This window comes from Homo sapiens, chromosome 10 (assembly GCF_000001405.40).
Source record: "Homo sapiens chromosome 10, GRCh38.p14 Primary Assembly".
Taxonomy (NCBI): domain Eukaryota; kingdom Metazoa; phylum Chordata; class Mammalia; order Primates; family Hominidae; genus Homo; species Homo sapiens.
In genome coordinates, this window is record NC_000010.11 from 87,126,946 (window position 1) to 87,153,549 (window position 26,604).

The window sequence follows — 26,604 nt, forward strand, 5'->3', positions numbered from 1 at the left end:
TACAAAGATGAAGAGAACAAAGTATTACACAATTCCTAATCTCACATAAATGCTATTTTTTTTACTAGCTGTGGGGAGCACAAAATAAGTGGTTGAAAGTCATCTGACACAGTTACATTTATTCCTTTCCTTTTCCATGGCTCTTAGGAATAAATTGTTCTACTCTATGGATTAAATTGCCCTTTGTTTATTGCCTGGGATCCCAACTTTATTTCATAATTTTATTTCTTTGAGGAAACGTTTCACAAGTTTTATAACAAAGTATAACTCAATTTGGAGAGCACAATCTGTGCATAAGTTGGAGGCTACCTATTGTGAAATGGAAAAATGCTTGTCCTAGCATTACTAAGTTAATGTATAGCTGGTAGAAAGTTTTCACTTTTAATTGCTAACTTGCCTAGTGAGAGTGAAAGATTGATTACGGCAACTAAAAAGTATAAAAACTACTGAGTAGTTTTTAGGTACAGTCAGTTCTTCAGTAGAACAAGAATCTTTAGAAATAACTTTCACTAATTCTTTACTAGTTGTTTTTCCTATTTCTCTTGGATATGGATCATCAGAATGTTTTTTGTCCCTCTTACCCGCCCCCCCCCACCCCGTCTGCCACCCCCCGCCTCCCACTTTTTTGTTGGGAGGCTTATGTGAGAGCATTAGAGGCCTTGAATGTTTGGGTAGACAAGGTAAGTATTCAAATAAACATTTCAAGATCATTGTGACAGTGAAATTATTTGATATGAAAAAGGATCTCAGTTATTAGAAAAAACACAACTGTGTTAATACTGACAGCCAGCGTTGCTATAAGTGTTTTATGTGCATTATCTCACTTAAGCTTTACAACAGTCCTAAGAGAGGAATGCTGTGGTTATTACACCCACTTGACAGACCAGGGAGCAGAAGCACAGAAACCCAAGGATTTCTGCCGTCAGTGTCATGCATTTGGCTGGAGTTATGATGTCGTGCAAGTAATGTTCCTTCTTTTTCCCTCTAATTCATTTTTATGTTTTTCTTTTACAGGGCAATTTTGTAAGATTTAGTTTCCAGGGGTCAGGTTTGTTTGGGTTTTATGTCCTTGGGAAATCCTCAGTACCTTATTTCCCATATTCCATATTTTTTAACCTTAATTTTTTTTCCCCTCAAATGTTATACAGTTTAATGAGTCAAGTGGTCTTTCAGGGATTGTTAAAACAAACAGTAATTCTCAGCTTCCACCTTCATTTCCTCCTCTCATAGGTAACCATCCTCAACTCATAGGTATTTGGAATTTACCTGTGGTTTTTCAAGAAACATTTAAAAAATTGATTTACTTGAATTTTCAGGTTAGAACATAAATTATTTGCATGATTTGCTGTGTCCTTGTGACTAACTCAAACTAAACATTCTATCAGTTGTCCAAATTTCCCATTTTCTTTCAAATTTCCCATTTCCTTCACTTACTTTGTCAGTTTCATCATCTTGAAGAAGCCTTTTCCAGAGCACAGTGCTCCAACATGGAGTAGTCTCTGTTTTCTCATAGTGCCCAGCAATTATCCTTGGAATTCTCTTTTCTTTTCTCCTGCATTGGCACTTCTGTTTCTTCTCCTCTTATGTCTTCCTGTTTCATGGGAGGCAAATATTTGATACCTTATGTTTTTTGAAAACACTTTATTTTCCTCTCACCCTTCATTAGTGGTTTCACTGTATGTAACATTGAGATTGATGATTTTGCTCCATTGTCTTCTAGCTTGTGTTATGCCTGTTGAAAGTACAAAATCATTCTGGAAGCTTATCTATTGTTAGCTATTTCCCTCTTCTGGAAGCTTGTAGGATCTTCCCTTTGTTTCCACTGTTCTGAAACTTGTAAATGATATGCTTTAATATGGTTGTACTGTATTTTAAACAATTATGCTCTGCACTCAGTGTTTTTTTGTTGTTGTTTTTGTTTTTTAATTTTTAAATTTATTTATGTATTTTTAAATTTATTGTTTTTGTTTGTTTTTTGAGACGGAATCCCACTCTCGCCCAGGCTGGAGTGCAGTGGCATGATCTTGGCGCACTGCAACAACCTCCGCCTCCTGGGTTCAGGTGATTCTGGTGCCTCAGCCTACCCAGTAGCTGGAATTACAGGCGTGCATCACCACGCCAAGCCAATTTTTGTTTTTTTGTTTTGTTTTGTTTTGTTTTTTTGAGACAGAGTATCACTCTGTTGCCCAGGCTGGAGTGCAGTGGTGCGATCTCGGTTCACTGCAACCTCCGCCTACTGGGTTCAAGCCATTCTCATGCCTCAGCTTCCCGAGTAGCTGAGATTACAGGTGTACCACCACGACTGGCTAATTTTTTTGTATTTTTAGTAGGGACGGGGTTTCACCATGTTGGGCAGGCTGGTCTTGAACTCCTGACCTCAAGTGATCCACTCACTTCGGCCTCCCAAAGTGCTGGGATTATGGGCGTTAGCCACCGTGCCTGGCTTCACTCAGTGTTTTCAGTTAGGAAACTTACATTGTTTAGTTTTGGGACATTTTCTTGAATTATTTCACTGATTTTTTTTCCTCTCTGTTTTCTCCCGTGGATTCCCCATTGCATAGATGCTGAATTATCTTGACTGGACCTCCAGTTTTTTCTTCTTTATTCTGTTGCCATCTCTTTGATTCCTTATTCTTTCTGATAAATTTTCCTAAGTTTAATTTCCAAGGGCTCTTTGGAAAAGTATCGATTTTTTTTCATGGATGGAGTATCTACTCTTTTGACACAGGGTCTTGCTCTGTCGTGGCTCACTACAGCTTTGATTGCTCAGGCTCAAGCGATCCTCCTGCCCTAGCCCTCCCAGTAGCTGGTACTACAGGCCTGCACCGCCAAACCTAGCTAACTTTTTTGATTTTTAGTAGACAAGGTCTCGCTGTGTTGCCCAGACTGGTCTCGAACTCTTAAGCGCCAAGCATTTCTCTTGCCTCAGCCTCCTAAAATTCTGGGATTACAGTGTAGTATCTTCTGTATTCTTTCCATGGACACTAATGATGGGGTATAAAATTCCTTTTATTTATTTATTTTTTTATTGACATCAGAAATTCCTGCTAATAAAATTCTTTTTAAATTTTAAGTTTTTTTCTTCCCACAGTTGTCCGTGTTTCCTCCAAGTTCCTTTTCTATTTTTTGTTTTCCTTTGTTTTCTTTTTGTGGTAGATGCTTTCCTCAGATGAGTGGTAATCCTTGACTATTTGCAGTTATGCCTCTAAAAGCTGATTGGAAGCTCTTAGTACCTCATTGGTACTTGTTGAGTAGAGTTCACTCTGGGGTGATCTATCTGTGTCATTTGCTGGGGCACCCTTCATGTCAGCTTCTGATTACTTTTCCCTTTTCTGAAAAGGGAGAGGTCTTTTAATTTCCTGTCTGGTGGGAGGAGGTCTGTATGCCACTTCTGTGGGAGAGTGAGGGAAGTAGGGCAGTGAGGATTTCAGTATTCAGTACATATGTGTTTTCTTAAGGCTTCTGTTTTCATTAAGCCTCCCCCGCACCAATGTGCTTTATGTTTCCCTGCTCTGAAATCCTCCTGAGGGAATAATCCTCTAGAATTTTGCCTTGGTGGGAAAAGCGTAGTAACCTAACCATGTGGTATTTAGGAAGGTACTGAGAGATTGAGCGTTTCCTAAGGAGCTTTCAGCCAGCCTTCTTTATTTAGTGCTCCCTTCACACCTGTTTCTACAGGCGCTATCTGTTACCAGTTCCTGAGCCTTTTGAGGATTCTGTGGACGAAGGTTGGTTTTTGGCTTTCCATACTGCTGGTTTCTTGGATCTGCTATGTCAGTTACCATTTATGCATTTGCTTTCTAGCTTTTAAATTTTGTTTATGCCTTAAAAATACCTGATGAGGGCCAGGCGTGGTGGCTCAGGCCTGTAATCCCAGAATTTTGGGAGGTCGAGGCAGGTAGACTCCTTGCGTCTGGGAGTTTGAGAGAAGCCTGGGCAACATAGCAAAACCCCATCTCTACTATAGAAAAATTAACCCAGTGTGGTGGTGCACGCCTGTGGTCCCAGCTACTTGGGAGTTTGAGGTGGGAGGATCGCGTGAGCCTGGGATGTGGAGGTTGCAGCGTGCTGAGATCATGTCACTGTACTCCATCCTGGGTGACAGAATGAGACCCCATCTCAAAAACAAAAACAAAAACCCCCCAAAAACCTTATTAGTATTTTAGCACAATTTGGGGAAGAAATGAAGTTAAATATATGTATGTTCCATCTTCTCTTTACCCAGAACTTATTTCTAATTTTTTTTTTGTTAAGCATCTTTTTTGTTGTGGTAAAATATACATAAAATTTATTATTTATAAGTATACAGTTCAGTGACATTAAGTACATTCACAATGTTTTACAGCCATCACTACTTTCTAGTTCTAGAACTTTTCTATCACACCAAAAAGAAACCCCATACTCATTAAGCAGTCACTCCCCATTCCCTCCCTCCCTCAGCCCCTGGAAGCCACGAATGTGCTTTTTGTTTCTATGGATTTGCCTTTTGTGGATATTTCATATAAATGAAGTCATTCAGTATGCGGCCTTTTGTCACATGTTTTCATTTACCATAATATTTTTGTGGTTCATCTATGGTATAGCATAGATCACTGCTTCCTTCTTTTTTATGGCTGAATAATTTTCATTGTGTGGATATATCACATTTTGTTTATCTGTTCATCAGTTGATGAACTTTTGGGTTGTTTCTGCTTTTTCTGGCTATTGTAAATAGTGCTGTTATGAACACTGATGTACAATTTTTTGGGGTGAACATTTGTTTTTATTCTTTTGGGTATATACCTCGGTGTGGAATTGCGGGATCATATATGGTAATTCTGTCTTTAACTTAATGAGGAACTGCCAATCTGTTTTCCTCAGTGACTGTACCATTTTATATTCCTATTAGCAATACACAAGTGTCCCAATTTCTCCACATTTTTGCCGACACTGTTTTCCATTAAAAAATTTTTATTGTAGTCATTCTAGTGGGTGTAAAGTGGTATCTTTTTGTTTTGATTTGCATTTCCCCAGTAACTAATGACATTGAGCCTTTTTTCATGTGCTTGTTGGCCATTTGTATATCTTCTTTGGAGGAATGTCTGTTTAAGTCCTTTGCCCACTTTAAATTGTGTTGTCTTTGTGTTGTAGAGTTGTAAGAGTTCTTTATACATTCTGGGTACTAGACATGATTTTCAAATTTAGATACATGATTTTCAAATCTTTTGCCTCTAGATGTTTTTTACTTTTTTATTTTTGATCCTTGAACTCATCTATATTCTATGGTTGTGATGTAATGATGTCAGAATTGGTGTCATTTGTGTTTATTTACCAGGTTATTTGGAAGGATTATATTTTAGGTGCTCTCCTCTCCCCCAGTAAATGGTATTATGACACAAGGGTTATAAAGGACTGATAAGAAATTACTTAAGACAGAAAGGGAAGTTGGCCTGCTTCCAAAATATGGTCCCAGCAGAAGTGAAGTTAGTTACACAAATAACTACAGTCAAAAAGCTATTTTTATCCATGATAATGTATTTGTTGTTATTAATATTAAAGATTATATTTTGCCAGGTGCAGTGGCTCACATCTATAATCCCAGCACTTTGGGAGGCTTAGGTGGATGGATCACTTGAGCTCAGGAGTTTGAGACCAGCCAGGGCAACATGGTGAAACCCCATCTCTACAAAAAATGAAAAATTAACCAGGCTTGGTGGTGCGTGCCTGTACTCCTAGCTACTTGCGAGTCTGAGGTGGGAGGATAGCTTGAGCCCAGGAGGTCAAGGCTGTGGTGAGCCGAGATCGTAGCACTGCACTCCAGCCTGGGCAACAGGACAAGACCCTGTCTCAAAAACAAAACGAAACAAAACAAAACAAAACGACTATATTTCTGCATTAAGTGGGGGTATAGAATCCTATCTAATATTTGAGATAATAATTGTTATAGTATTTTATTGAGCTTTTATTGGGTACCAGATGTGTTCTAAGTTTTTTTCATGAATTATTTTCGTTAATCTTATTCATTGTTGTGTCCTGAATGAGTACTCACATATTTGTTGAAGGGCTCAATGGTCCCTAAAACCTTACATGCTGTTTTGGAAGGTTAACTTGCCAAAGGTCACATAGTTGGCAAATGATGAAGCTGAGATTAACATTAAGATCTGATTCCAAAGTAGTCTTTCTTAACTATATTGCTTTATGTGGAGTTTTGTCGCTGATATCTAGACAGAAAGTCTCTAGCAATGGAAAAAAAATAATTTTTAATTAATTTTAATTTTTTTAGTGTTTTGCTTCTTTTATTTTTTTTATTTTGTGAGCCACCGTGCCCAATTGGTTTCTTTTAAAAGACTAGTTAGCTTGTGCTTTAGGCCTCTTGATTACTCTGAGGTATTTAATTAATATCTTTGAAATCCTACGATTTACTGTATCACTTCTGCAATATCTAAATTTTTCCTTCTTACTTATTTCTGTTCTCCTTCTACAGTCCTTTCTATTATGTTTAATCATCAAAACATTGTTCTTGTTTTCTACTGCAGTCTAATTTTTAGTGTTATGCTGTTTCCAGATGCCATTTGGGTCATTTTCAAAAAAAGATGAGTAATAATTAGCAAGTAATGAATATTGTTCTTTTTACCATTCATTAAGAACAATTGTTAATTGTCTTATTCTATTGTGAAGAATATCTGTAATTCCTGCTTAGAACCTGGGTTGATAGCAGGATCTCAGGAAGCACGAAGTGTACACAGAACGATATAGCTGGAAAAAGTATATATGTTAAAGAATAATATGTTGTCTAAGGACAGAATGGAACTGATCACACAGGTTCTTTTTTGGTAAGCTTCAAAACTTCTTATCTCCCATAAAAGTACTTTTTCTTTTATAATATGCAACAATAACTTTCTGTTTAGTTAATTAGTTTTAAAGCAAGCTTAAACTTATAATTTATAAAGAATCATATTTGCTCCCTATCATTGTTTTATAGCTGGGGCTATACTGACAAATAAGAAAAATAAAATTCCTGCCCTTGTGGAGGAGACAGTTAAACAATGAGACAAATACATTTCAGATGGAAATGAGGACAATGGAAGAAGAGTAGAGCAGGATGAAGGCATGAAGGGTGACTGAGAGCTGGTCAATCTTTAGATAGTGTAATACAGGAAACTGCTTTGAAAAGATGACTTTTGAGCAGAGATCTTAATGTACTGAGGGAGTGAACCATTTGAGGTCTGGGGAAAGAATTCAGCTTCCTCTTCAGATGTACAAAATTATAAGATATTGCCATTCTTGTAACTGAAAACCTATAAAAGCAGGATAAGAAGTACGGTTTCTAAAAACCCATCTAAGAGCTGAGGATACAAGGGAACCTAAATGAACCAAACTCCAGAAAGTAATCAAACTTTCGTAGTAGAGAAGAAACCCGTGGTTGCTCTAGGATGGAACAACCAAAGGAATAGGAATCCACCATAGATGAGGGGAAAGGAGAAACCAGCCACATTTTTTTAAATCAGATTTTTAATGGCCACGTATGGGCTGGTTTGACAGGTTAGGATCCTGAGAAGCCCTAGCAACTCTAGCACCAAAGAGCAAGTATGCACCCACACTCCAGCTCCTACCCACAGATGTTCACTGAATGTTCAGGAGTAGTAAGCCAAAAGCCTGGGCCAGTGACGAACTGGCATAGATAATACCTGAGGCATTTGGAACCTCTCCCAGGTATAGGGCAACCACCCTTAGAAGGCAGGATTGCTGAGAGAAATCCAGCAGAGGCACTCCAGGCTTTCAGTTCTGGAATGCTGCAGGCAGGGGAAGAGCTAGAGATAACTCTCACCCCACACTCTGGCAGTCCATGTTTTCAGCCACCAAGGACTGGGGACAGGGCAGAAGAGGTGAGTGAAACTGCTCTAATTCATTTCAGGCCTTCACAGAATGTAAGGAAGCTGGCCTCCAGAAGGCTGGCTGGAGAGGAGGAGCAGGGCTGCACGAGGGCACCTGAGCTTCAGAAAGCAAGGTGTGCGACTGGAGAGCAAGGAGAATCTAGCAAACCAAACTCTGACCGTCGTGCTTAATGCAGAGATAGAGCTCCTACAGTTTTTTTTTCTTTCTTTTTTAAAATATAAACTTGAATTTTTGAAATAGTTTCAGATTTAAAGAAAAATTGCCAAGATAGTATAGAGAGTTCCCATAGATGCTGCCTCTAGTTTTTCCTATTTTTATTTAATTTATTTTTTTTTTAGTTTTTCCTATTTTTAACACCTTATATTAGTATGGTATATTTGTTATAATTAATGAACTAATACTGATATATTTTCATTAACTAAAGTCCATACTTTATTTACCTAATGTTTTGGGATCCCATTTAGCTGTCACATCTCCTTAGGGTCCTCTTGGTTTTGGCATTTTCTTAGACTTGAGCTTCTCATCTCTTGTTTTTGATAACTTTGACAGTTTTGAGGAGTATTGTTCAGGTATTTTGTAGAATGTCCTTCTATTGATATCTGTTTGGTATTTTTGTCATTGTTACAGTGAGGTTTTATATTTTTGGGACGAAGAACATGCAGGTTAAGTACAATTTTCTTTCCTTTTTTTGAGACAGTGTCTCACTCTGTCACCCAGGCTGGAGTGCAGTGGTATGATGACAGCTCACTGCAGCCTTGAACTCCTGGGCTCAACGCGATCCACCCTCCTTAGCTTCCTGAGTAGCTGGGACTACAGATGCATGCCACCACACCTGGCTAATTTTTTTTTTTTTTTTTTTTAATAGAGACAGAGTCTCACTGTATTGCCTAGGCTGGTCTTGAACTCCTAGGCTCATGCAATCCTCCCACTTCAGCCTCCCAAGTAGTTGGGACTACAGACATGTGCCACTATGCTTGGCAGTACCATTTTCATCACATCATATTAAGGGGACATACTGTCAATATGACTAATCGGTGTTGCTATTGACCTTGATCATCTGGTTGAGGTAGTGTTTGTGTATTTCTTTACTACAAAGTTACTCTTTTTTCTCCTCTGTTTACATACTGTACTCTTTGGAAGGAAGTTACATATGCGCAGCCTACACTTAAGGCATGGGGAGTTATGATACCCCTCCTCAAGGGCAAAGTGTCTATATAAATTATTTAGATTTCTTCTGCATGGGAGATTTGTCTCTTCTTCCTCATTTATTTATCCATTCAATTTTTTAAATATTAGTATGGACTTATGGATATTTTATACCTTGGGTTAAAATCTTATTATTGCTTTATTTATTTTATTGGTCAAGTTGTTCCAGCTTTGGCCACTGGGAGCTCTTTCAGTTGGTATGACTTTTTGATATACCACTGTCAGTGTATGTGTGTGTATGTGTGTTTGCACTTTCTCACTTTCTGGCACTACAAGATGCGCTAGTATATTTAGAGACTAAAGCATGTAGTATATGCTTTAGTATATGCTTTATCTAGTATATTTTTCTGTCTCAATCCTAGAATTAGCCATTTCTCCATGGAGCCTTGGTTCCTTTTACTGGAGAATGGAGAAACCAAGATCTAGGTGCTAGGTGCACATGTTGCTACTGGGGTGTTGTTGCTTGTAGGCCATCTCAGCTGACAGAGCCAGAAAATGTATGTATTTATACTACCCTGTATATATCCACATATCTATAAATATTTCTATATGTATCCATCTGTATCTAATTAAGCTAAACATGAGTTTATATTGATGTATTCGGTTCCAGTTGAATCACTACATGGATGATTCTAACTTCCTGCCCTTGCTTATCTAAAAACTCCTGCTCCAATAGTGAGAAATCTGTCTCCTACCATCAGCCACCCATTTACTTAATCATTCTACTCTAGCATACATGTAAGGTACTCCCACAGTTTTAAAAATTGGTGGCTTGGCTATGAAACACAAGCAGGTCTCTGTAATTTTACCTAGGCTCAGATCCCAGACCTGCTCAAGTGAAGGACTTGATCTCAGTCCTTAAATATTTGAAGCCAGTGATTAACTGTCAAATTACAGCTGCATCATAGCCCACACCCAGCTCAGTTACATATTGGATTGACTCAGACTCCCTTCTAGTGTCCTAACAGAAAAATTGTCGTGTCTTTTTCTGGAAGTAAAATATTACTTAATTTAATAAGTAATCTATTTTTATATAAAATGTCTGGTGTGTAATAAAAAGTTACAAGACACAAGAAAAGCAAGAAAATGTGACCAAAGGTCAAGAGAAGAAATAGTCAGTAGAAGAAGACCCAGAGATGATCCAGATTTATCAGAATTATCAGACAGGGATTTAAAGATAATTATGAAAAAAATGCTGGATGATTGAATGATAAAGGTTAACAATATGCTTGAAAAGATGGGGATTTCTGTAGAGTCATGGAAATTATGCCAAAGAACCAAGTTGAAATTCCATTAAATAGAGGTGAAAAATATACTAGCAGAGACCAGAGAAAACAAAAAAAGGAAAGAAAAGAAAAGGAAAGGGAAGGGAGGGGAGGGAAGGGAGAAAGAAAAATATACTAGCAGAAATGAATTCATTACATGGGCTTAACAGTTTATGGACATAGCAGAAGAAAGAATCAGTGAATATGAAGACAGATTGGAAAGAGAAAAGACAGAAAAAGTCAGGGAGGGGTAGAAAAGAGATTTTAGATCTGTGGGATAATATCAGATGGTCTAACATATATGTAATTGGAGTTTCAGAAGGAGAGAAGAGAATGTGGCAGAAGACATATTTGAAGAGACAATGCTCAGGAACTTCTAAAATTGATGAGGTCATCAATTCACAAATGGAAGAAGTTCAGCAAATCCCAAGCAAGTTAAATACAAAACAAAAATAAGCCAACAAATTTAAAAATCCCATATATAGGCATATCATAATCAAACTGCTGAAAATTGAAGATGGAAGAGATCTTACAAGCAACAGGAGAGCAACAGGAGAATAAAGGCACATTAGTTATGTGAGAATGGCAACATGGGTTATGGCTAATCCATGTTTTCAGACCAGAAAAAAATGGAGTCTTAGCTGAGCATGGTGGCACATACTTGAACCCAGGAGTTCGAGTCCAGCCTGGGTAAAGTAGTGAGACCCCATCTCTATTTAAAAAAGAAAAGAAGTCCAGGCATGGTGGCTCACACCTGTAATCTCAGAACTTTGGGAGGTGGGCAGATCACAAGGTCAAGAGGTCGAGACCATCCTGGCCAACATGGTAAAACCGCGTCTCTACTAAAAATACAAAAATTAGCCGGGTGTGGCGGTGCACACCTGTAGTCCCAGCTACTCGGGAGGCTGAGGCAGGAGAATCACTTGAACCCAGGAGGTGGAGGTTGCAGTGAGCTGAGATCACACGCCACTGCACTCCAGCCTGTCGACAGAGCGAGACTCAGTCTCAAAAACAAAGAAAGAAAAGAAAAGAAAAAATAGAATGTTAAATACAATGGGATGACATCCATAAAGAGCTGAAAGAAAAAAAAAAAAACAACCTGTTAACCTAGATTTCTATGGCCAGCAGAAATAGCCTTCAAAAATAATGGCAAAATAAAGACTTTTGGGACATATCAAGAAGGGAAAGAATTTGTTTCCAGCAGACCTGGACTCAAAAAACATTAAAACATACACATTAACAAGATGTGGGTTTTACAGCATATATGTGATTATACAACCATGAAAGAACAAAAAGGAGGAGATGGAATTATACTGTCATATATTTCTTACTCTGTGAAAGGAGACTGTAGTAACTTCTGGATGCATATGTAATCTCTAGAACAAGCACTAAAAACACAAACAGGGATACCATAAAGTCAGTACATCTGCCTAAGAGGGATTAACTGCTACAAGAATCATTCTCCTACAGTAAACAGCTAGAAAACAGGACAAAAATACATGAAACAACTGTTTTCAGACATTGGACAACAGGCAGCACAGGATAGTGATCCCTGAGAGAAGGGAAATAACTGATATGAACCCTACAGGGGTTCCTATAGGCAGTTTCCAGATTGTAGCACAGAGTAGGGGAATCCAAATAGAGCCCAGGAGAGTTTGGAGAAGTCAAGGCAACTAGAATTTGTGGGGCAGAAAACAATAAAAGGAACTACACAGAAATCTATAGAAGTAAGAGAATCTTTGATTGGACACTCATCTGCACATGCAAAGTGTGGAAGTCAGCAGTGCTGGAGAAAGTCACACTGGAAATCAGAACACTGAACAATTCCAGGAGCTCACACAGAGCTGGGAATAGTTTATGTTTCCATTAGGCATAGTGGAGAGACTGTTTCATACAAAGGACATTGGCTAGAGTCTTCAAAGTGGGGTTAAATTAGCTATAGACTAAAGGCCTTTCTAAACCTACCCTAAGCTTCAAGGCAGGTTTTGAAAGGACCAGGCTGATTCTAAGTAACTCAATTATGTGCCAAAACTAAACTCTTTTAAAGAATACAGTAAAAGCCAGCACCTAACAATTAAAATGTTCAGCATTAATAATATATTAATGAAAGATTACTAGGCATACAAATAATAAGCAGGAAAATGACCCATAACCAGGAGAAAAATCAATAGAAAAGAGACCTAGAAATGTGGAATTATTAGAAATAATTCTGATGATTGAATTATCAGCCAAATATGTTAATACAAGTATTATAATGACTAGTAGAGAAATGAATGATAGATAAAAAGACACAAGCCAGATATGGTGACTCACGCCTACACACTTGAGGGTGGGCAGATCATCTTGCCCAACATGGCAAAACCCTGTCTCTACTAAAAATACAAAAATTAGCTGGGTGTGGTGGGATGTGCCTGTAATTCCAGCTTGGGAGGCTGAGGCACGAGAATTGCTTGAACCTGGGAGGCAGAGGTTGCAGTGAGCTGAGAACATGCCACTGTACTCCAACCTGGGTGACAGAGTGAGACTTTGTCTCAAAAAAAACCAAAAGACTCACAAGTAGTATCTAAAGATGAAAAATACCAGATATAATATCCAAAACTGGGGGAAAAACTGGATGTGATTAACAGCAGATTAGACACTGTGGAAAAAAAGATCATTAAATGTGAAGGTATAGCAGTAGAACCTATTCACATTGAAGCACAAAGAGAAAAAAAATACTAGAACAAAGTTAATAGAACATCAGTAACCTGTGGGACAATAGCAAGTTGCCTAATACATGTATAATTGGAGTTCCAGAAAAGTGGGGAAAGGTAGAAAGCAATTACTTTAGGAAATAGTGTCTGGGTGGCCGGGTGGGTGGCTCACACTTGTAATCCTAGCACTTTGGGGGCCGAGAGGGGTGCAGATCATTTGAGATCAGGAATTTGAGACCAGCCTGTCCAACATGGTGAAATCTCTTCTCTACTAAAAATACAAAAATTAGCTGGGCTTGGTGGCATGCGACTGTAATCTCAGCTTCTTGGGAGGCTGAAGCATGAGAATTGCTTGAGCCAGGGAGATGTAGGTTGCAGTAAGCCAAGATCATGCCACTACACTACAGCCTGGGCAACAGAGTGAGAACCTATCTCAAAAAAAAAAAAAAAAGAAAAAAATAAGAAAATAGTGGCTCATCATGGTGGCTCATGCCTGTAATCCCAGCACTTTGAGAGGCTGAGATGAGAGGATTTTTTGAGCACAGGAGTTCAAGACCAGCTTGGGCAATTTCCTTAAAAAAGAAAAAGAAACAGTGACTATAAATTTTCCAAATCTGATGATAACCATAAACTCTCAGATCCAAGAAACTCAGTGAACTCTAAATAGAATAAACAAATATAATCATACCTAGGTATGTAATAATAAAATTAGTGCCAGTCATGGTGGCTCATGCCTGTAATCCTAACACTTTGGGATGCTGAGGCCTGGAGTTTGAGACCAGCCTGGGCAACATAGTGATACCCCTATCTTTACAAAGATTAAAAAATAGAAATATAAAAAGTTAGCCAGGCATGGTGGCACTTGTCTGTAATCCCACTTACTTGGGAGGCTGAGGTGGGAGGATTGTTTGAGCTCAGGAGGTCAAGGCTGCGGTAAGCCATAATTGTATTCCACCCAGGGTGATAAAGCATGACGGGAGATCCTGTCTCAAAACAAAACAAAACCAAAAAAAGGCGAGGCACAGTGACTCACACTTGTAATCCCAGCATTTTGGGAGGTCAAGGTAGGATGATCGCTTGAGCCCAGAAATTGGAGACAAGCCTGGGCAACATAGTGAGACCCTGTCTCTCAAAAAAAAAAATTTAAAAAGGGGGGCATGGTGGCATGGGCCTGTAGTCCTATCTACTCAGGTGGCTAAGGTGGGAGGATTGCTTGAGCTTGGGAGGTTGAGGCTGCAGTGAACTGTGTTCGTGCCACTGCACTCCAGCATGGGAGACAGAGCAAGATCCTTTCTCAATAATAACACATAAACCAATGTTACAATTAGAAGAAATAAATTCTGGTGTTCGGTGTTTTTTTTTTTTTTTTTCTGAGATGGAGTTTCGCTCTTGTTGCCCATTGCTGGAGTGCAATGGCATAGTCTCGGCTCACTGCAACCTCCACCTCCTGGATTCAAGATGATTCTTTTCCCTCAGCCTCCCAAGTAGCTGGGATTACAGGCGCGTGCCACCACACCCAGCTAATTTTCATATTTTTAGTCCACCACGTTAGCCAGGCTGGTCTCAAACTCCTGATCTCAAATTCTGGTGTTCTATTGCACAGTGGGGTGAGTATAGTTAAGAGTAAAATATTATTACAAAATAGCTGGAAGAGGGGCTTTTGAATGTTCTTTCACAAGTGAGAAATGCAGGAGGTGATGGATACACTAACTGCTCTGATTGGATCATTATGCAACATGGATATGTATCAAAACATTGAATTGTGGCCCAGCACGGTGGCTCATGCTGGTAATTCCAGCACTTTGTGAGTCTGAGGTGGGTGGATCACCTGAGGTCAGGAGTTCAAGACTAGCCTGGCCAACATGGCGAAACCCCGTCTCTACTAAAAATACAAAAATTAGCTGGGTGTGGTGGTGCATGCCTGTAATTCCAGCTACTCGGGAGACTGAGGCGGGAGAATTGCTTGAACCTGGGAGGCAGAGGTTGCAGTGAGCTGAGATTGCGCCATCGCACTCCAGCCTGGGCAACAGAGCAAGACTCCATCTCAAAAAAAAAAAAAATATATCAAATTGTACCCCATAAGTACGTACAATTACAATATGACAGTTTAAAAAATAAATTTCAAAAAATTCTCTTGTACTTACCAGCTGAATAAAAAATAAATTTTTAAAAGGAGAGAAGTCTTAAAAACCAGTTATTTACCCCATCATTAAGTTATAATGAACTTTCTTATGGGAATTCTTTGATAAGGAAGCTCCTTTACGCTGAAGTTTTATTCTTTTCATACCTCTTTAGATAAATCAGTGCTTTGGGAGCATATGTCATATGACTCAATGGCAGTGTTCTAACTTGGATTCTAGCTCCACATTGTGCAAAGGCAAAAAACCAGAGAGTCAGTGTGGTAGTTAAGAACTTATGTTTTGCTGTTTGATTTCCTACATGCCAGTACTCCCTCCACTACCTGCAGTCTTCCTGACCTGGGGCAAGTTCCTTTTGTAAACTCTGTTTTCTAGGGGGATGGTGGTGGAAGAAGGATGGTGATTTGAGCCAGGCAGTAGCAGGTGGAGGTGGAGAAAAGTGGTCAAACCCTGAATGAACGTTAAAGATAGGACCAAAAGGATTTGATGAGAAATTGGAAGTAGAGCACGGGGAAAAAGAAAGACATCAGTGATGATGCCAAGGTTTTTTGGCCTGGGGAATTGGGATAGTGGAGTTGTTATTTGCTGAGTATGACTTTTCACAAAGGAATGTCAAGGCGTAAGTAGCAAAGTTCTTTCTTTTTTTTTTTAATTTTTCTTGATTGTGTTTGTTTTGTTTTTCATCTTTTGTGGGAGGTGGGTGGAGATGAAAGCAAGCACAGGGGTTGGCAGGCATACCCCTGGCACCTACCTGTGAGTTCATGATTACTAGTCTTAAATTCAGTCCTTTTTATTTTTACTTTTTTTTTTTTTTTTTTTTTTTTAGAGACAGTGTCTCACTCTGTCATCCAGGCTGGAGTGCAGTGGCACAATCACGGCTTACTGTAGCCTTGACCTCCCAGGCTCAGGTGATCCTTTCACTTCAGCCTCCTGAGTAGCTGGGACTACAGGCACATACCACCCTACCCAGCAATTTTTTTTTTTAATTTTTTGTAGCGACATAGTCTTACCATGTTGCCTAGGCTGGTCTCGAACTACTGAGCTGAAGCAACCTGTCTGCCTCAGCCTCCCAAAGTAAAGTACTGTAATTACAAGCTTGAGCCACTATGCGTGGCCAAATTCTGGCCTCTTGATGTTGCATGGCGTGGATGGGGAGGTGAAGTGTGATATTTTAGGAATTTGAGGATTTCTTCTTCGACCTTAGGCGTGACATTGGACAAATGACATCTGGGCTGAGACATTTTCTATTAATTCTGAATCCAAAAAACTCTTATCCCATTGTCTCATAGCTTCATTACACAGACCTGGCAGCCATGATCCTCTTTTTTTCCCCCTTAGTTGTCAAACATGGGTTCTCTGTCTTACCTCATTTGAGTCTTACCTCAGTCTTGAGAGTCTCAAATGTATATCATAGTTTTTAGACAAAATTCAACCTTATTTCAGTTAGTATTTCATTGTTATTTAAATATTTTAACAGGAAAACTGAGCAATGTTTCCCTTTACCTGTTAATCCTGTTATAATATTTTAGATAAAGTGTATTAGAAGGCACATTCTTCATTAATAGAATATTTATTCATGTGTTTATATGGTTCTTAACTAGGAATACCATATAGTCTATCTCCAACCCTTTGAGAAGGAAAAAAGATACTGACTAAACAGGACACCAGAAGAGCATGCCTAAACTAGGACTGTTCTGGGCAAATCAGAAGGCATGTTCACCTTATTCTTTTTATTCTTTCTTTTTTTTTTTTTTTTTTTGTGACGGAGTCTCACTCTGTCGCCCAGGCTGGAGTACAGTGACGCGATCTTGGCTCACTGCAACCTCCACCTCCTGGGTTCAAGCGATTCTCCTGCCTCAGCCTCCTGAGTAGTGGGACTACAGGCACATGCCACCATGCCTGGCTAATTTTTTGTGTTTTTAGTAGAGACGGGGGTTTCGTCGTGTTAGCCAGGATGGTCTTGAACTCCTGACCTCATGATCTGCCCACTTCGGCCTCCCAAAGTGCTGGGATTACAGGCATGACCCACTGCACCTGGCCTCACCCTATTCCTAAGGCCAGAAAACCAGCTAGAGTAAAGTTCACTTTCTGTTTGAGTGCTTGGACTTTATTGGGAGAAGGCAAATGCCCTGGAACAAGAGTGAAAGGGAGAAATTCCCGTTGTATTGCAAGCCAGAATAAGAGAGGCTCACCCGCACTGGCCTAAGGCATCTCAGTTGTTGATGAGAATGTGATTACAGATGTCTCACTTGAATACCAAAGACAATTGCAAAGGAAATTAAAAGTTATGCAAAGAGAGTTGAGAAGTCAGTTGTCTGCTCACAGGTTGGCTTTAGTGGCTATTACTTTGAGATACTAAATGAGCAATAGCTTTAAACTTCAACTGCTTTTGTTTCTGAGGAAAAAAATCATCTTATATCCTTTCATAAGTCGCATAAAATGTGGACATTTTCTATTATTTTAAAGAGTAAATTTAGGTACAAGCATTTACTAATTTTTTTTTTTTTTTTTTTTTTTTTTTTGAGATGGTGTCTCGCTTTGTTGCCCAGGCTGGAATGCAGTGGCGCAATCTTGGCTCACTGCAAGCTCCGCCTCCCTGGTTCACGCCATGCTCCTGCCTCAGCCTCCAGAGTAGCTGGGACTACAGGCGCCCGCCACCACGCCCAGCTAATTTTTTGTATTTTTAGTAGAGACGGGGTTTCACCATGTTAGCCAGGATGGTCTCGATCTCCTGACTTCGTGATCTGCCCGCCTCAGCCTCCCAAAGTGCTGGGATTGATTACAGGCGTGAGCCACTGCTCCCGGCCTGTAATTCTTTTTTTTTTTTTTTTTTTTTGAGACGGAGCCTTGCTCTGTTGCCCAGGCTGGAGTGCAGTGGCGTGATCTTGGTTCACTGCAAGCTCCGCCTCCCGGGTTCACGCCATTCTTCTGCCTCAGCCTCCCGAGTAGCTGGGACTACAGGGGCCCACCACCACGCTCGGCTAATTTTTTGTATTTTTTAGTGGAGACGGGGTTTCACCGTGTTAGTCAGGATGGTCTCGATCTCCTGACCTCGTGATCCGCCCTCCTCAGCCTCCCAGCATTTAGTAATTCTTAAAAGAGTTCGGCATGAATATACACAGTACGTGGGTTATTAGTACTGTGTTGTTAACACAAATGAACTATGATAGCAAATTGAATTTGGTTCAATCAGGTCAAAGAATAAAAGGATGATTTTCTTTAACCAACAAGGGATAGTATAATGAACCCCATGCAACTATCACTTAACTTCAATAATTTCAAGTTTGAGTAAGTTGCAGAGTAGTAATTTGAACCCACATCTCTCTTGTTCCAAATCCCTTGCTTTTAATTACAATCCCATGTGGCTTCTTTGTCATTTGATGCTATTGAGCAACTTTATGATTTTTTTTGGTGTTTTTGGTAAAATAGACATGAAAAGGCATTACTACAGGGAGTTTTTTCACTCCCTGGTAATAAGAGGGGAAAAGCACTCTCTTTTAATGATACATGTTTTGTAATAAGCATTTTTTTTAGTTGCAGTGTTCTGCAAAGACAAAACCTGCTGATACAGTTCATCCTGTTTTAGAAATCTTTGACCCATTCATCAGACTCTGACCACTCTAAAGATAAAGGATTATGGTTGTATTGGTTTTTCCGACTGAAGCGGCTTTCTGCAGATTGAGAAATTGTATAATTATTAACTGCGGTAATGGAGATGTACTTGCAAGTTTCATCTGGTATCTTAATGAGCTTTAACCCTCTGAATACACCTAAAACATATCCTAGAATTATTGAAATTAATCAGTTGTCCATAACTTTTCTGTCTGTATAATTTGGCTATCATACATATTTTGTTTCCCCCTGCCCTTGCCAGTTTCCATCCTCCTACTCACATACTCACAACTCCTATAAATTGGAGTATTTAGTAGCAGTAGCCTTTGGTATAAACACTTTTTAAAAATTTACTATTTTTTGATTTAATAGGGCCACTTTCTAGTCAAATTTTTTTTGGGGGTGGTGAGGAGGGTAGGGTAACAGTTCCACACTTACAAGGGTATTTGTTTAGACGAAGCTTGTTCAACCCACAGCCTGTGGGGCTGCATGTGGTCCAGGACGGCTTTAAATGCAACCCAACATGAGTTTGTAAACTTTCTTAAAACATTATGAGTTCTTTTTGAGATTTTTTTTCGAGACAGAGTCTCGCTCTGTTGTCCAGGCTGGAGTGCAGTGGCCCGATCTTGGCTCACTGCAACCTCCACCTCCTGGGTTCAAGCGATTCTCCTGCCTCAGCCTCTGGTGTAGCTGGGATTACAGGTGTGTGCCATCACTCCAAGCTAATTTTTGTATTTTTAGTAGAGACGGGGTTTTACCATGTTGGGCAGGCTGGTCTCAAACTCCTGACCTCAAGTGATCTGCCCACCTTGGCCTCCCAAAGTGCTGGGATTATAAGCTTGAGCCACCGCGCCCAGCCTGCGATTTTTTTTTTTTTAAGCTCATTAGCTATCATTAGTGTTAACTGTATTTTATGTGTGGCCCAAGACAATTCTCCTTCTTCCATTGTGGCCCAGGGAAGCCAAAAGATTAGACACCCCTGATTTAGACAAATAAGTGAAGGCACACTGAAATAACAATTATATATAATAACCTTGTGCCGCCCAGCGTGGTGGCTCATGCCTCTAATCTCAGCACTTTGGGAGGCCGAAGCAGGCGGATCAGCTGAGGTTGGGAGTTCGAGACCAGCCTGACTTACATGGAGAAACCCCATCTCTACTAAAAATACAAAATTAGCTGGGCATGGTGGTGCATGCCTGTAATCTCAGCTACTTGGGAGGCTGAGGCAGGAGAATCGCTTAAACCCAGGAGGCAGAGGTTGCAGTGAGCTGAGATCGTGCCATTGCACTCCAGCCTGGGTGACAAAAGCGAGACTCTGTCTCAAAAAAAAAAAAAAAGAAAAAAAAAAAAAAAACAAAAAAACCTTGTGTTTTATGGATCTCACATTCATCTCAGATATTTCTTGCCCTGAGAGATCCTCTGAATTCTCAGGATTGCTTCATGTTGATTCTACTGTGATCCTATCAAATATAGTAATGCTAGAAATATAGGTCTGAAGTTTGGGAGAGAGATTGGCTCAGTATAGATATGTAAAGCACAGTTGGATATGTGGTAGTTATATGAATGGGATTGGATGAAATTCTCTAGAGGTGTGTGGAATGGAAAGAGGTGGCCCAAGGAGGAAGAGAGAGAGAGAGAAATTGGAGAGGTAGAACAATTTAGGAAAGAGTAATGTTCTAGAAACTAAGGAGAGAGTTTCACAACTGCAGTGGTGAAGCACTGTGAGTTCTTATTTGGCAATTTGGACTTCATTATTGTCTTATCACAGATAGGAAATGAAAGGTTGCAGAACATTTAGGAGAAAATATTAAGTGAGGACACAGAAGCGGTAAATGTCGTATACACCTTTTAAACATTTTGGAGATTACCCATAGTAGGCCTGTCCCTTGGGTAAGGCAATTAGGGCAGCTTTCCTGGGCCCTATTTTGGGGTGGGGAATGACTCGGGGACTTTATTATATGACTTTTTTTCTGAACATTAATAAAATTCAGTTCCAAAATTTTGTGATTAACTGTAGTCCTAAGAGCCTACGAAAAATGCAGATAATGGGCAGTTCCACATTGGTTGAACTGCCCCAGGCTTCTCTCTTCTAGAGTTGCTGTCCCTTCCTTTTAATCCTGTAGTAGCTCCTATCACTTTTTTTTTTTTTTTGAGACAGAGTCACCCAGACTGGAGTGCAGTGGTGTGATCTCAGCTCACTGTAACTTCTGCCTCCTGGGTTCAAGCGATTCTCATGCCTCAGCCTCCTGAGTAGCTGGGATTACAGGTGCGTGCCACCACACCTGGCTAATTTTCGTATTTTTACAGGATTTTACCATGTTGCCTAGGCTAGTCTTGAACTCCTGACCTCAGGTGATCCACTTGCCTCAGCCTCCCGAAGTTCTGGGATTACAGGCGTGAGCCAAGGCTCCTGGCCTCCTGTCACTTTTTATAATTGTCAGTTTGTTTTTCCTCTCAGAAATTAAGCTCCTTAAAGCTCTCTATTATTGTTTTGAATTCCCAGGGCCTAGCATAATGCCCAGCACGTAATGTTGAATGTTTGTTACGTAAGTGATTGAAGGAATAATCCAATACATATCTGTCTTAAGTACAAAAGAATTCCAATATGGTGGTCTCACAGAGTCAAAAAAGCGGAATGTTTCAGAAAAGAGGGATTGATAAACAGTTTCAAATGGTAGTAAAAGTATTGAAAACTGACCTTTGGATTTGGCTTCTAGAAGGTCATTGGTTTCCATAGTGAAAACTTTTATAGCAAAATGGTTGGAGTAGAAGTGGTTGAAGATTAAAGGAGAAATGAGATGTAAGAAACAACAAACAAGTTTGTGGGGGGGCGGGGGTTGGTTTTATTTTTAAAGATTTGTAGCTGAGCGTGACAGTATGTATCTGTAGTCCCAGCTATTTGGGAGGCTGTGGCTGGATGATAGCTTGAGCCCAGCAGCTTGAGGCTGCAGTGAGCCATGATTGCACCATTGCACTCCAGCCTGGGTGACAGAGAGAGACCCTAACTCAAAAAATAAAATAAAATAAAGATTTGAAACTAAAGGGAAGAAACCATTGGAGAAGAAAGCCAAAGATCTGACGGAGGAGAATTCATTATCATGGTAATGTTATGCATTTGATTTGCATATATCTAAGTATTCCCACCAACTTTTTTTTTTTTTTTTTTTCTGAGGCAGAGTCTCACTCTGTCACCCAGGCTGGAGTGCTGGAGTGCAGTGGCATGATCTTGGCTCACTGCAACCTCCCGGGTTCAAGCGATTCTCCTGCCTCAGCCTCCCTAGTAGCTGAGACTACAGGCTTGTGCCATCATGCCCTGGTAATTTTTGTGTTTTTAGTAGAGATGAAGTTTCGCCATGTTGGCCAGGCTGGTCTCGGACTCCTGACCTCAGGTGATCCTCCCACTTCGGCCTCTCAAAGTGCGGGGATTACAGGCGTGAGCCACCATGCCAGGCCCCAACCAACATTTCAAGATAATATATTTCTCCTTCCACTTGGGTTTGATATATTAATGTATTTTGAACTTGAAGGCTTTTGCTGTGCTATTTGGGGCCCCTAGTGGTAAATCTAATAATGACATGCAATAGAACAGCTAATATACCAGTTATTCCTTATGAAGGTTATTCTTTCTATGAGGATTAAATGAGGTTGGAATATGTAGTTATAGCAATAGTAGTGATTCTTAATCATTTTTTTAAAGAGAGGGTCTCGCCAGGCACGGTGGCTCACACCTGTAATCCCAACACTTTGGGAGGCCAAGGTGGGTGGATCACTTGAGGTCAGGAGTTTGCGACCAGCCTGGCCAACATGGTGACACCCCATCTCTACTAAAAAAACTAAAATTAGCTGGGCGTGGTGGTAGATGGCTGTAATCTCAGCTACTCGGTAGGTTGAGATAGGAGAATTGCTTGAACCTGGGAGACAGGAGGTTGCAGTGAGCTGAGATCACGTCATTGCACTCCAGACTGGGTGACAAGAGCAAAACTCTGTCTCTAAATAAATAAATAAATAAATAAATAAAAGGTCTCACTTTGTTACTCAGACTGAAGTGCAGTGGTGTGATCATGGCTCACTGCAATGTCCGCCTCTCAGGCTCAAGTAATCCTCCCACCTCAGCCTCCCTAGTAGCTGGGACTATAGGTGTTCCACTACTATGTCCAGCTAATTTTAAGAAATTTTTTAGTTTTTAAATATTTTTGTAGAGATGGTGGTCTTACTATGTTGTCCAAGCTGGCCTCGAACTCCTGGTCTCAAGTGATCCTCCCACCTCGGCCTCCCAAAGTGCTGGGATTACCGGTGTGAGCCACCATGGCTGGCCAAAAATGAGTAATTTTTTTTTTTTTTTTTTTTTGAGATGGAGTCTCGCTTTGTCGCCCAGGCTGGAGTGCAGTGGCGAGATCTTGGCTCACTGCAACCTCCTCCTCCTGAGTTCAAGCGCTTCTCTTGCCTCAGACTCCCAAGTAACTGAGACTTTAGGCACGGGCCATCACAGCTGGCTAATTTTTGTATTTTTAGTAGAGATGGGGTTTTGCCATCTTGGCCTGGCTGGTCTTGAACTCCTGACCTCAAGTGATCCACCCCCTTGGCCTCCCAAAGTGCTGCGATTACAGGCATGAACCACTGTGCTCTGCCCCAAAATGAGTAATTTAAAGGTGACTGTAATATAGTTAAACAAATGCCTCTTTTCCCATTCTTTACTAACTTGTTATTTAAATGGGGCAAGTTTTTACAACATAAGAAATAAACAGGCCAGGCGCGGTGGCTCACGCCTGTAATCCCAGCACTTTGACAAGCAGAGGCGAGTGGATTTCTTGAGGTCAGGAGTTTGAGACCAGCCTGGCCGACATGGTGAAACCCCGTCTCTACTAAAAGTACAAAAATTAGCCGGGCGTGGTGGCACAGACTGTAATCCCAGCTAATCAGGGGGCTGAAGCAGGAGAATTGGTTGAACCTGGGAGGCGGACGTTGCAGTGAGCCTAGATGGCAACACTGCAGTCCAGCCTGGGCAACAGAGCAAGACTCCATCTCAAATGAAACAAACATACTAAAAACCTATTTACTTGTTTGATGTGAGTGTGCTTAGCTTTATTCCCCTTAAAGAGAGTCTTTTTTTGAGATGGAGTCTCACTCTGTTGCCCAGGCTAGAGTGCAGTGGTGCAATCTAGGCTCACTGCAACCTCCGCCTCCTGGGTTCAAGCGATTCTTCTGCCTCAGCCTTCAAGTGGCTGGGACTACAGGCGTGTGCTACCACGCCCAGCTAATTTTTTGTTTTTAGTATAGACGGCGTTTCACGCTGTTAGGCAGGATGGTCTCAATCTCCTGACCTCGTGATCCACCCGCCTCGGCCTCCCAAAGAGCTGGGATTACAGGTGTGAGCCACTGCGCCCGGCCTAAAGTGAGTCTTTAGGTGAAAAATTTTTGTGAATATTGTGATTTCTCCTTAATAATTTCTTGTGTATTTATGAATTTTATATAATTAAATGGCATATCAAAAAAATCACCTATGTTAATTATGTTTTTGACTCAGTTATATTTTCTTTTGGTACATTATTAAGTTAATATCCATATGCAAAAATATGCTGACAATATATTAATTTTGGATTTTTCATTTTTATCAGAAATCATGAGTGGAGGATCTCAAGTCCACATTTTTTGGGGTGCTCCAATTGCTCCACTGAAAATCACAGTATCAGAAGACACAGCTTCTTTAATGTCTGTTGCTGACCCCTGGAAAAAAATTCAGCTTTTATACAGTCAACATTCTTTATATCTGAAGGATGAAAAACAGCACAAAAATCTTGAAAACTATAAAGTCCCAGAATCTATTGGTTCTCCAGATCTTAGTGGTCATTTCTTAGCAAACTGTATGAATAGACATGTTCATGTGAAAGATGACTTTGTACGTTCTGTTTCTGAAACACAGAATATAGAATCCCAGAAGATTCACTCCTCTAGACTGAGTGATATAACTAGCTCTAATATGCAAATATGTGGATTTAAAAGCACAGTTCCGCATTTCACCGAAGAAGAAAAGTATCAAAAGCTTCTCAGTGAAAATAAAATTAGAGATGAACAGCCTAAACATCAGCCAGATATATGTGGTAAGAACTTTAACACAAATTTGTTTCAGTTGGGCCATAAATGTGCAGCTGTGTTGGATTTGGTTTGTAGTACTGAAAAAATTAATATAGGGCCTGAAGTGGTACAAAGAGAGTGTGTGCCAACAGAATATCATGAAATACAAAACCAGTGTTTGGGATTATTTTCCTCGAACGCAGTAGATAAGTCAAGGTCTGAAGCAGCAGTTAGGAAGGTCTCAGACCTTAAAATATCAACTGATACAGAATTTCTCAGTATAATTACCTCCAGCCAGGTTGCTTTTTTAGCTCAAAAGAAAGATAAAAGGCGGAGTCCTGTAAATAAAGGGAATGTAAACATGGAGACTGAACCAAAGGCAAGTTACGGGGAGATAAGAATACCTGAAGAGAATTCGATTCAGCTTGATGGTTTTACAGAAGCATATGAAAGTGGACAAAACCAAGCATATTCCCTTGAACTTTTTAGTCCTGTTTGTCCTAAAACAGAAAATAGCCGCATTCACATAAACTCTGATAAAGGTCTTGAAGAACATACAGGATCTCAAGAACTTTTCAGTTCTGAAGATGAACTGCCACCAAATGAGATACGTATTGAGTTGTGTAGCTCAGGAATACTGTGTTCCCAACTAAATACCTTCCACAAAAGTGCTATTAAAAGAAGCTGTACCTCTGAAGATAAAGTGGGCCAGTCTGAAGCTCTATCTAGAGTCCTTCAAGTAGCTAAGAAAATGAAGTTGATTTCTAATGGAGGAGATTCTGCTGTAGAAATGGATCGGAGAAATGTGTCTGAATTTAAGAGTATTAAAAAAACATCATTAATAAAAAACTGTGATTCTAAAAGCCAGAAGTATAATTGTTTAGTCATGGTGCTATCTCCATGCCATGTGAAGGAAATAAACATAAAATTCGGACCAAATTCTGGCTCTAAAGTGCCTTTAGCAACAGTTACAGTAATTGATCAATCAGAAACTAAGAAGAAGGTTTTTCTGTGGAGGACTGCAGCATTTTGGGCATTTACAGTGTTTCTTGGAGATATAATTTTACTCACAGGTGAGGTCATTATGGTATAGTGGTAGCTTATTTTATAAAGCTAAGTTTTGTTTGTTTTTGTTTTTCTCCCACTTAGTCTTTGAAGACTCTTTAGTCATTTGCCTCTTCTGAGCGCAGCATAATTGATCCCTTTATCGCATCTGCATTGTTCTCCTTTCCATTGTCCACTCTCCTGCCCATTGCCACTTCTGGGCCTCTGTTCTATCCTTCTCAGCTCTGTCCCTTCTTTCCACTTATCCCCTCCTTTAATAAGCCTTCCCTAGTCAGGTGGAGTGGGTCACACTTGTAATCCCAGCACTTTGGGAGGCTGAGGCAGGAAGATTGCTTGAGGCCAGGAATTTGAGACCAGCCTTGGCAACACAGAACCCGTCTCTACAAAAAATAAATTAAGGTTTGCGTGCCTGTAGTCCCAGCTACCCAGGAGGCTGACGCGAGAGGATTGCTTGAGCCCAGGAGGTTGAGGCTGCAGTGAGCTTTGATTGGGCCACTGCACTCCAGCCCGAGCAACAGAGTTAGACCTTTCTGCTTCTTTACCTAATGTCTAATAATGCTGTGCACATTGTATTTTTACTGTGGGAACAGTTATTGATTTCTATTGCCTTATTATCAAAATTATATTAATTACACTTGGAAATATGGAAAGGAAAAAACTGGTATTATACCAACTTCA

The 26,604-nt window shown here is 40.1% G+C and overlaps 1 protein-coding gene across 34 annotated transcripts in view; it reads left to right on the forward strand.

The window, feature by feature from the left end:
• Positions 1-26,604, forward strand: part of SHLD2 (shieldin complex subunit 2) — a 96,993-nt gene that overhangs the window by 32,473 nt on the left and 37,916 nt on the right. For 19 of the 34 annotated variants that reach the window (XM_047425370.1, XM_047425371.1, XM_047425374.1 and 16 more), the window contains one exon: positions 24,405-25,934. The exons of 3 other annotated variants lie outside the window; for them this stretch is intronic. In XM_047425370.1, coding sequence (XP_047281326.1) covers positions 24,410-25,934 — 1,525 coding nt within the window. In that variant the 5' untranslated portion in view covers positions 24,405-24,409. 12 more of the 34 variants (XM_047425378.1, XM_047425379.1, XM_047425380.1 and 9 more) reach the window with 4 other exon arrangements.